A 12,427-nucleotide genomic window follows, 5' to 3' on the forward strand; every position below is an offset into this window, starting at 1 on the left:
ATGAGATTGCAGAATTTACAACATTTTTCAACCACAGGTCAGAAAATCAACAGTGATGATACCTACCTGCTTTATCTTCTGATATTCTTGTAAGACTTCTTCATGAACATTCTACAAAATTAAATATTAGAAATCAGAAGAGAACAACTTCTTTTGTGTGTGGCAATACAAATAGATAACATGCATTCAGCAAGAGTATAGGAAATATTGACTGTGGGAATGTAACTTGAAACAATCTTTATGGAAGGCAATGTGGCAACAGCTATCAAAATAGTAAATGCAAAATCGACTCAGCAATTCTACTTATCCTATGGACACACTTGCTCCCCAGTGAATGACACATATACAAGATTATTCACTGTAGTGCTGTTTGTAAAGCAAAAGACAGTAAACAAAATTGAAATGTCCATCAATCTATACAAAGGATACTAAGAGGCCATTAAAACATGCCAAAGTGTTTTATGTACCAATATAAAAAAATTCTCTAAGATGCATTATATTGTTTAGTGAAGAAAGCAAAGTGCTGAACAATATGGACAGCTTGATACCATTAGTTTAAAAGAGAAAAACACAATAGTATTCTAAGAATTCCATTACTTGTAAGATGCTCATTTCTCCCCATTTCAATGAAACCAGTACAAATAATAATGTATCATAATTTAAGTTATTGGGCATAAAACAATGGTGTAGCTTACAAATGAAGAAACCTTAGATTCAATTAAATACGGTATATATGTTGAAATTACTTGTGTAGATATGTACATACATTTTATACCATGTGTACATACATGCACATATCACACACATAAACACACTTCGAAAGAATACACTGGAAACCAGTAACAGTGATTTTCTGTGGGGATTGGTGAGGGGGGGAGTCAGGTGCCTGGGGGGGATAATAGCCTAATGTATGTACCAAGTACCAGGCATGGATCCAGGCACTTTACTGTGCTTACTTATGTTTATTCCTCATAACTCAATGATTATCCCATTTTATGGATGGGGAATTCAAGGCAAAGAGGCATTAAGTAACTTGCCCAAGGCCACACAAATATTAACCACTCCTAACCAAGTAATCCTTGGAATTATATTCTAGTTTCAGTATAATTATATACATTGATAAATGACTATATAGAAAAAAAAATAAACCCCAAACCACCATGTCACCAACCTCTTGCACCTCTGAACACCGATTCTTCTGGCAGTCTCCTATAACTCTCGCCAGCTTGTTGAAAAAGATTAAGGCCCTCTAGTAGAAGACATAATGAATCTTGAGGACACAAATGCTCTCAGGCTGTTTACTGTTGTGGGAAAACTCATCCATTGTCTCACGTAGGCTCCAGCCTGAACACTGGTAGTGGGCTGGGACAGAGGCACCACTATACCACCTGTGTCCGTGAAGTGTGACAAAGTTATCTAGCCCACACGGGAGGGAAATACTCATTTCTATCAATCCCTTTGCTAAGAACTACAAAAATAATCAGGAGACAGGTCAGGCAGGCATCTCCTGCTCTTTGTCAGCTGTAGTAATATTACCACTTCAAGTAGGAAAGTGAAAACAGAGTAAGACTGGTTAACAAAGATCCGTCTTTGTAGCTAGAAGCAGCAAACTTCTTTACTTAAACCCCAAATCTCTGTGTATTAAGCCCTCTTTATTTCCTATGTTTGTATCTTCCCTATTCTATCTCAGATTGAGGTTTAAAGAAAAATACTTGAAATAGCACTGTTTTGGGATAGCACCAGACCTATGAGCTGTAGTCTAAGTTGGCAGTGTAATTAATCAAATAGTTAGCTGAATCTCAAGATCCAACTTTTTTTCCTATTTAGTTGTGTTTGGTATTTTTCTCAATATGTGATACATTATAGTGGCACAAGGTTTTTTTCCACTGGTAGAAATACAGGTTTACTATGTTAATTTATTTTCAAGAACTATTTCAAATATTTAGTTTCCTAAAGCAGCAGCGAGGCTGGTCTGCAAGAGTACTTACTCTAAAGGCCACTGTGATGGCTGAGGTTGAGCAGGGCAGGGAAAGAAAGAAGGTAAAATATGAAAGTCAGCCCATCTAGTTACAAATCCATTTACCTGATACTCTTTTGAGCCTGGAGAAAGGCGCTTTCTTTGTGCATCTAGTTTGATAAATCTTCTAGCTACAGTCTCCATCCTGGCATGCAAAGCTCTGTACTCATCATACTCTGCATTGAAGTCATCCTTATAATTCTGGCGTTGCTCATAGGAGACGATAGCGATATATTTTCTAATAAGAAAAAAGATAAATGGAGAGTAGCTACCCAATAAACATGATTGCACAAGTCTGAGATTTAAACCAAATATTTAGAGATTAGATCCATGCATGTGTCACTAATGTTTAATGCCACTCTGCCACTGGTTGGCTGCCAGGTCACTCCTCCAAACATCTTCCAGGTAAAATTATTACACAGAGTTTGAGAGCTTCAACGAAGGAGAGTAAATGTGGTAAAGACATGGTGGCAATGGAACTAAAATGCAACTAAGTAAAAAGAAAACAGTATTTACACAGATCTAGTTTCCTGAACCTTTCTCTATCCAAGATAATTCACTACCACACTAATGGTGGATGCTAACCCATCTGTTACAAGTCACAGAGAGACAGAAGGACTCAATGGGTAATGTGAAACCAGGAGAATGTCACGCAGTCCGTGAGTGCTGAAAGTCAAAGCTCTCTCTGGACCTACTGCTTTATGAGAGGCAGTCTGTTGCTTGGCCTTTCAGATATGCTGCTAGCAGACATCTTCAACAAAGTGCCTCAGGCTTGCTTCCTCTATCCCTTTCCTCATATTTCTGACCAAGCAAATACATGAAACACAAAAGGGAAATTACCAACCATTCTGTAAAATGAGGGTTAGACCAAAAAAAGGCATATTTCTCTAGTTCTTTTCAAACATTTAAATGTCATACTATGTTGAACAAAAGCCAGTGTTGTACTATTAGTCCAACTTACTTTCTTAATAAAATGCCATAAATCTGTTTTACTTTGGGATGTAAATTACTCTTAACTGGTAAGAGAAGACCATTTTCCTAGAGCATCAGTTTATTCAATAATAAGTAAATTAAAACAGCATTTTATTATTAAACTTAGAATTACAGTATTACTTTTTTTTTTTTTTTGAGACGGAGTCTTGCTCTGTCGCCCAGGCCAGAGGGCAGTGGCGCGATCTCAGCTCACTGCAACCTCTACCTCCTGGGCTCAACCGATTCTCGTGCCTCAGCCTCCTGAGTAGCTGAGATTACAGGTACATGCCACCATGCCCGGCTAATTTTTGTATTTTTAGTAGAGACAGGGTTTCGTCATGTTGCCCAGTCTGGTCTCGAACCCCTGGCCCCAAGTGATCCACCCGCCTTGGCCTCCCAAAGTGCTAGGATTATAGGCGTGAGCCACTGCGCCTGGCCTATTACATATTACAGTATTACTTATTTGTAGATCTGGGAACTGGGATCACATAAGGAACTGGCCTGGTTCTTTGCACTCTGTGTTCCTATCATTAATGCAAACTTCCCTTGAGTTTTTGAAATAAAAATTGAGATTTCAAAGCAATTTCAGGCAGGTGGCAGGAGATTCAGGATGCCCCTTGGGGGTACACATATATTCTTCACTGCCATAAAATCTTGGAGTTCAGTCCTCTCCAAATGGTCTTATATAAGCCCATCAGTTTGTTTAAATTACTAATATCACAGACGCCTAGCAGAAAATGTGAGAAAAGTGATGCAGTGAGCAAACTTAGTGTCCTCATTAATATTTTTATTCATGCTGAATTAGACAGTGTAGAGGTTTAATTTTCTAAGTATAATTGAGACAGTGATAGTCTGCTGATGTAAAGCTGCCCTCCTGGTGTCTTAGCTATAAAAGGTACACTGCCAGCCAAGCAGTGAAGCAGTCCTTCCTAGGCATGGGCTGTATTGACTGTACACCAGAGGGAGCCCCGGGGTAAAAAGAGGTTCCTGGGGATAAGCATATATTAGCAACACAGCTAAACCGATCTTAAAACTTAGACTTAATTTGTTATATATTTATCGTGCTTTCTCAAAAGCATACCTTCAGTATTTTATTTAATAATTTCCTTAGGGAAATTATTCAATGACCACAGTTGTGTGGTCAACAACTGTGTTGCTATTATAGAAGAGATTATTTGGTTACACTGGCATTTTTAAGAAAAAAGTTGTCCTACTTTTACGAAAAATTGTTGTAGTTCTACAGTTGGCTGTTTATGTGGTGATGGAAAAAATTTTAAACAGTTTTGATAGCTTAACTACAAGTAAAAGTATTCTTATTACATAAAAATTAGAAATATTTTCGTTAAGTATGAATTATTCAAAGGTTGATAATTTAGGTTTTTTATTATTTTTTTGAGATGGTGTCTTGCTCTGTCGCCCAGGCTGGAGTGCAGTGGCACCATCTTGGCTCACTGCAAACTCCGCCTCCCGGGTTCACACCATTCTCCTGCCTCAGCCTCCTCAGTAGCTGGGAACCACAGGCACCCGCCACCACGCTCGACTAATTTTTTGTATTTTTAGTAGAGACGGGGTTTCACCATGTTAGCCAGGATGGTCTCGATCTCCTGACCTCGTGATCCGCCCACCTCGGCCTCCCACAGTGCTGGGATTACAGGCGTGAGCCACCGCGCCCGGCCTCGATCATTTAGGTTTTATAGTATATCCCTTTAGTTTTCTTATGAGGCAACTTAAGTTCTGTAGTTTTGGTAATTTTTCTGAAAATCCACGCTTTTTCACTATTTTTAGAAAATTTGCTATATCTATGTAAGACTAGTTTTTAGTTAATATAAATTGTGTTTATTTAAATAAATTAAGCGAACAATCACATAGTACTAGAAACATGACAAACATACAGAAATGCACCAAGGCAGATCCAGGAACCATCCTTAGATAAGTAACCTGAAAAAACCTTTTAAATATGAAATTAAGGCCAGGCTCACACCTGTAATCCCAGCACTTTGTGAGGCTTGAGGTGGGTGGATCACCTGAGGTCAGGAGTTCGAGACTAGCCTGGCCAATATGGCGAAACGCCATCTCTACTAAAAATACAAAAAATTACCCAGGCGTGGTAGTGGGCGCCTGTAATCCCAGCTACTTGGGAGGCTCCGCTTGAACCCTGGAGGTGGAGGTTGCAGTGAGCCGAGGTCGCACCATCGCACTCCAGCCTGGGCAACAAGAGCGAAATTCCGTCTCAAAAACAAAAAAAGGGGGGATTAACTAATGAACTTGGCAAAACACAACAGCCTTGAATCCATGGGCAAAAGTTTAGCATTGTTTTTTAGTTTCCCCACATGATTCTGTCGTATATAATAAGTATATGTCACTATTATAAAAAAGAATTCAAAAAAGAACAAGAGCACTGCATTGGCAGTTGCTACTCAAGGGGGCTGACATTTAAAGACTTCTAAGGAGAAGTCGTTTGCAGTTAAAGAGGTGAACCCCCTCAGCAGCAGAGCCAGAGGCTGTCCTGGAAGACTGGCTGCAGACAACTGACCCTTCCTGGGCCAACTAAGTGGTAGGTGATAGCTGCCTTTCAAGGCCCTCCTAGAGAACTCTAAAACCATACACTACCTCAGATGAGAGGGTACTCAGCAAGGTTTCTCAAGTTCCTGTTAGTTAAGAGATGATAACCAGCATTATGGTTTCATACTGTATCATTCCCCAATAAGTATAGCTTTCACACTACTGTTAAGCAGAAGTAACACATTTTAAATCTAAAATGATCTTTACTCTGGAAATGAAAAGGGCTAAACAGCATAGTTTAACATTGTCCACCATGAGATGCTACTAATAGAAAAAAAGTGTTCAGACAGCCCAGATTCCATTTTCCCTTTTACATTCTAGCTATTTTGCACATTTGTTCATTTTCAAAGCTATCCAAAGTCAGATTTGTTTGCTCTTTCCCTCTCCATTTTTCCAGGCTCTTGCAACTTAATTATTTTCTTCTTACAGAGGCCTTTTATTCTGCAAAAAAGCTAGAATTATGTGTCCAAGTTATAATTTCTGTGATAACCAGTTACAAAAATGTCCCCAGCTCAGCATTTAGCAACTTGTTGTCACAACAAGAAAACATTATAACCATTACTAAATTGAAATGATCAGATTTTACTCTTATCTCCTCTAAAAATTAATTTGAGGGCAGAACTTAAATAAAAATCAATCTATCTTTACACTTTGTATTATTATGTGCAGAGGTTCAAGCACTTTGTCAGCAGTAAACCATCCCTTTGGGGGACCCAAGTGAATGACTGTGCATTGATAAGACTGTCAGCTTTGAAGAGTCAGATCCCTAAAATCTTTCATAATCAAATGCTTAGCCTGGCCCCAGAACAAAGGACAGGATTCTCTATACTTAAAGGCCAACGAATACAGCTCAGAGCGGGGGGAGGCACAACCTGCTCATGCAGACAAGGGTAGATTTGGGATGAGCAGGCTAAATGGCAGCCTTTCAATTGCAAGGGTGGCTCCAGGACTCTATTTCTGGAACTTCTTACTTTTCTGATTTGCAAATTATGGGAAAAGAATTTGCAAACTTTCTAAAATTAAGCCGCTCTCTCCATTGGCAGACATATGAACTTACATCAAATAATCTGGGAGTTCAATTGCTGAAGGTTCCATGGAGGCAGTGCAATCCTCTTTAACTCCTATGAAGAAAAAAAACAAAATCAGAGCATTCATCAACTACGAAGGTTATCAAATGCCTGTAATTCTAAAATAGATTAGAAACATCTGGAACACTTTTCCTCAAATTCTATTCTTCCATCTCAATAAGCAACAGTGAGCAAGGAATACAATTGAACATGAACAATAGAGGCCCTATGACCAGCGCCAGCAGAACCGACGCCAGGCATTTAAAGCACCCTGGCTACTGCAGTGTCTGCACAATAAAGGAATTCCATCTTAACCCAAGGTCAGTCTTCTATTCTTTCAACAACAGTTGTGGCATCTGCCCAGCAATTCAAAGATTGTGGTGGCAGATGCAGCCAGACAATGGGAGATACAAATTTTACATCAACATCTACTTTTCATGGGATTCAAACAAGGCGGATGAGACAATAGAGTCAGGTAGCCGACTGCTTTGGTCACTGTATTTTTATTGCCTCCCTTTTTTGTATGCAGACAGTGGAATTTGGTAGAAAGTTTTCCCATTGGTTTAAAGTAATTTAAAATAAGGTATTATTGAATGTCGATTTATATTCCTATAATCTCTAGCACTCATAACACTAAACAGATTTTTTTTTTTTTAAGGACAAAAGAAGTGCTAAACATTGTGGCTACACAGTGAAAGTATGTAAATCCCTCAGTATGCCATTTGCTTAAATGCACCATGTCCAGAGGATATGTTTAGATTCTTTATCAGGGTAATTTTTTATCATTGAAAGTAGGGTTAAACTGATAACTCAAACCCTAATCATGCCCACTGGCAAAACATATAAAAGTGAATGTTAGGTAATTTCTCGGTTTAATATTTTAAAGGACAAAGTACCCTAAACAAATATTAATACATAGACTCTGAGTGCATGCTGCTCACCTATAAATTCATGCTTGGGTAAAAGAACATGCTTTTACGATAGTCTGAGTCTTAAAGAGAAAGGCATCAAGTGCAGGTCACCTGGCTTCCCTTCTGCCATAGACACCAGATAAATTCCAAAAAATGCAGGGGATGTGGGTCTAGAGCTTTCCTAACTTTGTAATTATCGCAACTGGTTCTGAAAGTTACTATATCCTCAGTAAAGAATTCAAAGAGACTAAGTCTGCTTCTCCAGGTCTCCAACTCTGAGAACACTTGGAACTCTGATGTAGATCTCAACATACTGAAATCCAGTTTTCCTGTCTCTAGCCTTTGACTCAGAAGCACCACCTGAGGGTGGAAAGTGTGGAGAGTGGAGTTTACCCAGTGGCTTATGAACTCTGAACATAGAGTTCTACTTCATTTCTTTTCCTGACCTGACAAATTCAACTATAAGAGTGTTGAGGGAAAAAGCTTACACCTACCTTTTGTGCCATTACATAGTATTATATTGACTGAAATATTTAAACAGAAATGCTTTGACATGCAATGTATCCAATCTAGATCAAGAAAAGCACATATCATATCATATTCTACAGCGGCTTCTTTGGAAGTAACACTAAAAGAAAATAGAGCTTCTCTCATATGGCAAAGATGGTCAATTAAATCTAAGGATTACAGACTTTCAGAATCATGAGCAAAATACAGAAAGACAACACTCCTTATAACTCTACTCATTAAAGTAATTTTTCCAAAGCCATATTTTCCTATGGAATTTTGCCTTAGTTATTCTGGTTTTAAAACTGGCAGCAATGCCAAATGGTGAACTTGGATCTTCTATGTGGTGGCATGCAAGGAATTAAGTTTTAGAGGACATATTTTTTAAATAAGAAAAATCTAATTTTGTCAGTTTTTAACACTCAGGACATCTTAGGCAAGCAAGCTTTTTATGAATTAGCTTTTCTTTAGAGGTAAAGCTTTAAGTTTCTTTGGATCTCTAGATATTTAGCATTTAAGCTCCTAAAGCTTTGAAATGGCTAATTTTACAAATAACAATTGATGTTAGTTCACTAAAACAGGACTCTCAAAATTGGGGGAAAAACCCCTAAACCTTAAGATCTATTAAGCGAACGCTAGCCAACAGTCTTGCAAAAGACAAAGTGTTTTCACTCTAAATAAAGATGATGTTATGAATCTGCAAATGAAATTTTATCTTGGCCTGATTTATTAAAAAGTTGACCTTTCCCCTGTGCTAATATTAATTGAAGCAAGGGTGACCCTGTTTCATTGAGAAAGAAGGAAATGAATATTCTTATTGCAAATTGTGTCTGATTAAATCAGTTCAAGAATGGCATATAATAGGTCATGCTGAGGCTGCACAATATCATAACAGATATGGAAAAGAATGTTAAAGGTCCACCTTCCAAAAAGGAGTCTCAAGTATGACAGTCATTTTCAAATGCCATTCTTATTAATATAGAAATCATGTTTAATAGTTGGCCAAAAAGAGATGGAAAACAACTGCTGTAAAATGAAAAAAAAAAAAAAAAACTGCTCAAAAGCACAACACTAAGATTAATAATTAAATGAAACGTCATTTGCTAAAGAAATTACTAATTATAAACTGTGTAATTTCAAACTCATGATAGCATGCACTTCTGGTTCATCTAAAGGTAAAATACCTCCACTGGAATTTGGACTGGAGTTATTTAGCTTGGCAATTTCCTCTTCTCTCTTAAGATCTTCCTCCTTTTCCTCAATAGTCTCAATGTCGTGCTTTTTTATTTGGTCCTTTTCCTTATGTTTTTTAGACTTCTTTTTGGACTTTTTGTGAGACATTGAATGGTTTTCTTCCATAGGCTTTGGACACTTTAGTAGAACGGAACCAGGGGGTAAGGTTTCCAGAGAAGTCCTAGAGGTATATTTGTCTTGCTGGTCCTCATAGATACTATCGTTTTGACTAAAACTGTCAACAGGTAGGTCTTGAGTCCCCCGGCCTTCTGGAGTGCTAGGGGAGTTGGAGTTAGAATTTACAATCTGAGGAGGATGTGAGATGGGCAGATAGGTTGAAGGCAGCGGTGGAGGGGTAGGGATGGCAGCAGCCGCAGGGGGCAGCGGGAGGCCTGCAGCAGATTTTTCACTGGTGGGATTCAAATGACCATTTAGTGTTGGTGGTACTCTGTTCGTCAGGTGAGATATTCGGGCTTTTTTATTCATTAAAGGATCAATAAACTCTGAATCCAAAAGCCGTTTCTAGGGGAGGGAAAAGGAGAAAAGTGAGCCAGTTTGCACTAAAATTAAATAAATTCAATACATGCATGGCTGGTTAAACAACTAAGTAACCTTACTTACTATTAATATTACCAGGGTTGTAATATTACACGCTTTCTTCATGCTTAAGCAAAAAACAAACAAACAAAAAACCCAAACAAAAACTAAACCAGAACAACAACAACACAAAACCAAATGTGAAATACATTTTCATGTTTAATGTCAAAAAGCAGAATCTGGCAAATGTTTCTTGAAGTGCTTACTGAATTCTTTCTAATCATACAGCTTTACCCTAAGTTCCAAGAGAGACTATGCTGATTTATGTGGATTATACCACTCAGGAGAGTATTAAACAGAGGCAGTCACCCTCCATTGCTGGCTGTGGTTGACCTAGTTATATTAAATGAGAAGAGAAAGCAATTTGTGCCGTTTGACTCTGTGAGAACTAACACAGCTAGGTAAAGGGCAATAGCCTGCACTTATTTTAATCTTTAATGGGCTAAAATGCTCCAGTTAAGAGTATTTTGGCTGTCATTTATCATTCCACCTGTCTTAGAGTGGGAACAGCCAGCACTTTCAGAATAGTTTCTCTAATTATCTCTATCACTGTTGAAATGCTATTTAATTTTTTTTTTTACCGTTACATATCTCTTTACCAGATTGGAAGATAAGTCTTAATAATTGGTCCATTAAAATTAGGTGGAAGTACTTTAAAAAAAATCATGGTAATAGTAGCCTAATCTGTCAACAACAATAATAGTATTTAAGTTAAAAAGGAAATTTAGATAGTTGAAAACTATAAAATATAAATTCACATTTATGCTTAAATGTAATGCTGTAGCTTGTATTCTGGCTTGAAAGAAAATAATGGTTAATCAACTCATTATTTTGTTTTCAATTTAACACCATTTATTTGGCACCTAGTATATAATTTGATCAGAGTAGAAGTAGTTTCATAATAGTTGGCATTAAAAGTGAGACTTCCACAGACATTGTATATATGCAAGGACAGACCTGCTTTTTTTCCTTTTTCTTTTTTGTTCCCCCTCTGTTCCTCACAATAAGTTTCTAATATTTTCTGATGTGCGAATGGCTGTTTGCCCAGGGTATGCTTAGTGTTCTCCACACATCTGTGGGCTTCTCACTAATTCTTGGGAGTAAGGTCCAGAGAGAGAGAGGGAAGACACTGTGTCAGCAGTACTGGGGTGGGGAGGTGCGTCCCACTGTCTGTCAAAAGCACCCAGAACACCGAGAGAGTTCTGAGTTTGGCCAATCAGCTGAGAATCAGGCAGGCTTCACTCTAGTACTGCCTAGGACCTTCTCACCTTTTTCTTGGATGAGCTGAATCTCTTGGGGGAAAACTCTAAACTGGAGAAGAATCTGATTGGGAGTACTCTGATAAGGATCCAATTAAAAAGAAAACATGGAAACATGCCATCATTTTTGTTTATTTGTTGATTGTAAATCCATTTTCCCCAAAAAATATTCTTCTGGAACATGTTGACAGACAAAATTAAGTATCTTCAATTTTCCATATAATCTGATAATTGTTTGGGACTGGGTAAGTCTTCTAGTTAGTGACCAAATTGGAAAGTAGATAATCTTACAACAAAATGTAAACTTTAAAAATGGAAAGCAAGGTAGACATTAAGTACTCTGACAAGCAGTGCTGTGTAGTGGAGAAAGTTCTGGGCTGGAAGCCAAGACCTAAATTCTAGGCTAAGCTCAGCCATAACCAGATGGCTTTGGGCAGGCAAGCTGTCCAGCTTCTCCGGGTCTCATTTCCTTCACTTATACATCAGAGGACCTGATTAGAGGCCCCTAATATCTATGTCAGGTCTATAATTCTATGTTTATGACATACCTGAGGAGAAGATACAGCGTCTCTACTAGAACATACAGGAGATTCTGAACGGCTGGTGCCTGCAGCATTCTGAGACGGATTTAGTTTTCTGTAAAGGACACACATGTTATGTGTTAAGGAGATGATTTAAAAATGTTCATGATAGAAAGCTTGCCTTGCTTCCCTTCCCACCTTAACACTAAAATAACAATGACTAAAATAATGACTTATTTCCATAATTTTTAAAGAAACATTTTTTTAAAAGCAAGAAAAAAAGAATTCACCTAGAGAGCACTGACTCCAATGACCGTCTGTCTATTTCACTGTATCCAGGCCAGTCTCTTTGAAGCTCTTTAAAAACATAATCCTTTAAGGTATATGAGAGGTCCTTAGAATTCAGATTGGCTACCTAGTATGAGGTATAAAAACAGAGCATTAGGTATTTTTACTATCATCTCCTAACCTAAAACAGGCAACCTTTAGGATTTACACTGAAAATAATTACATCAATTGGCCCCAAAGGGACTGCTAGTTTTGTATTATATGCCAGATCTCAATAAATGCCATTAACTTCATTTTGGGAATTAAAGCTTTATATACACAGCTAAATGTTTTTTTCCCAGAATGGCCATTGCATTTTTAATATTTCTAATCAGATAATAAGCCCATATTAGGAAAAAAGTGAAGATTTTAAAAAAATCAATTATTTTAGTCAAAGGAATCCAAAACAGTTGTACAGTAGTCCCCTCCTTATCTTCAAAGGATACACTCAAAC

General features: G+C 37.8%; 1 protein-coding gene across 5 annotated transcripts in view; it reads right to left on the reverse strand.

Annotated features, from left to right (window-relative positions):
• Positions 1 to 12,427, reverse strand: part of ELL2 (elongation factor for RNA polymerase II 2) — a 76,754-nt gene that overhangs the window by 3,922 nt on the left and 60,405 nt on the right. For 4 of the 5 annotated variants that reach the window (NM_012081.6, XM_017009240.3, XM_047416959.1 and 1 more), the window contains 6 exons: positions 11,937 to 12,061; positions 11,674 to 11,761; positions 9,221 to 9,791; positions 6,609 to 6,672; positions 2,084 to 2,255; positions 67 to 111 (listed from right to left, as the gene is read on the reverse strand). In NM_012081.6, coding sequence (NP_036213.2) covers positions 67 to 111; positions 2,084 to 2,255; positions 6,609 to 6,672; positions 9,221 to 9,791; positions 11,674 to 11,761; positions 11,937 to 12,061 — 1,065 coding nt within the window. The other variant, XM_017009239.2, reaches the window with a different exon arrangement.

This window comes from Homo sapiens, chromosome 5 (genome assembly GCF_000001405.40).
Source record: "Homo sapiens chromosome 5, GRCh38.p14 Primary Assembly".
NCBI classification, from domain to species: Eukaryota; Metazoa; Chordata; class Mammalia; order Primates; family Hominidae; genus Homo; species Homo sapiens.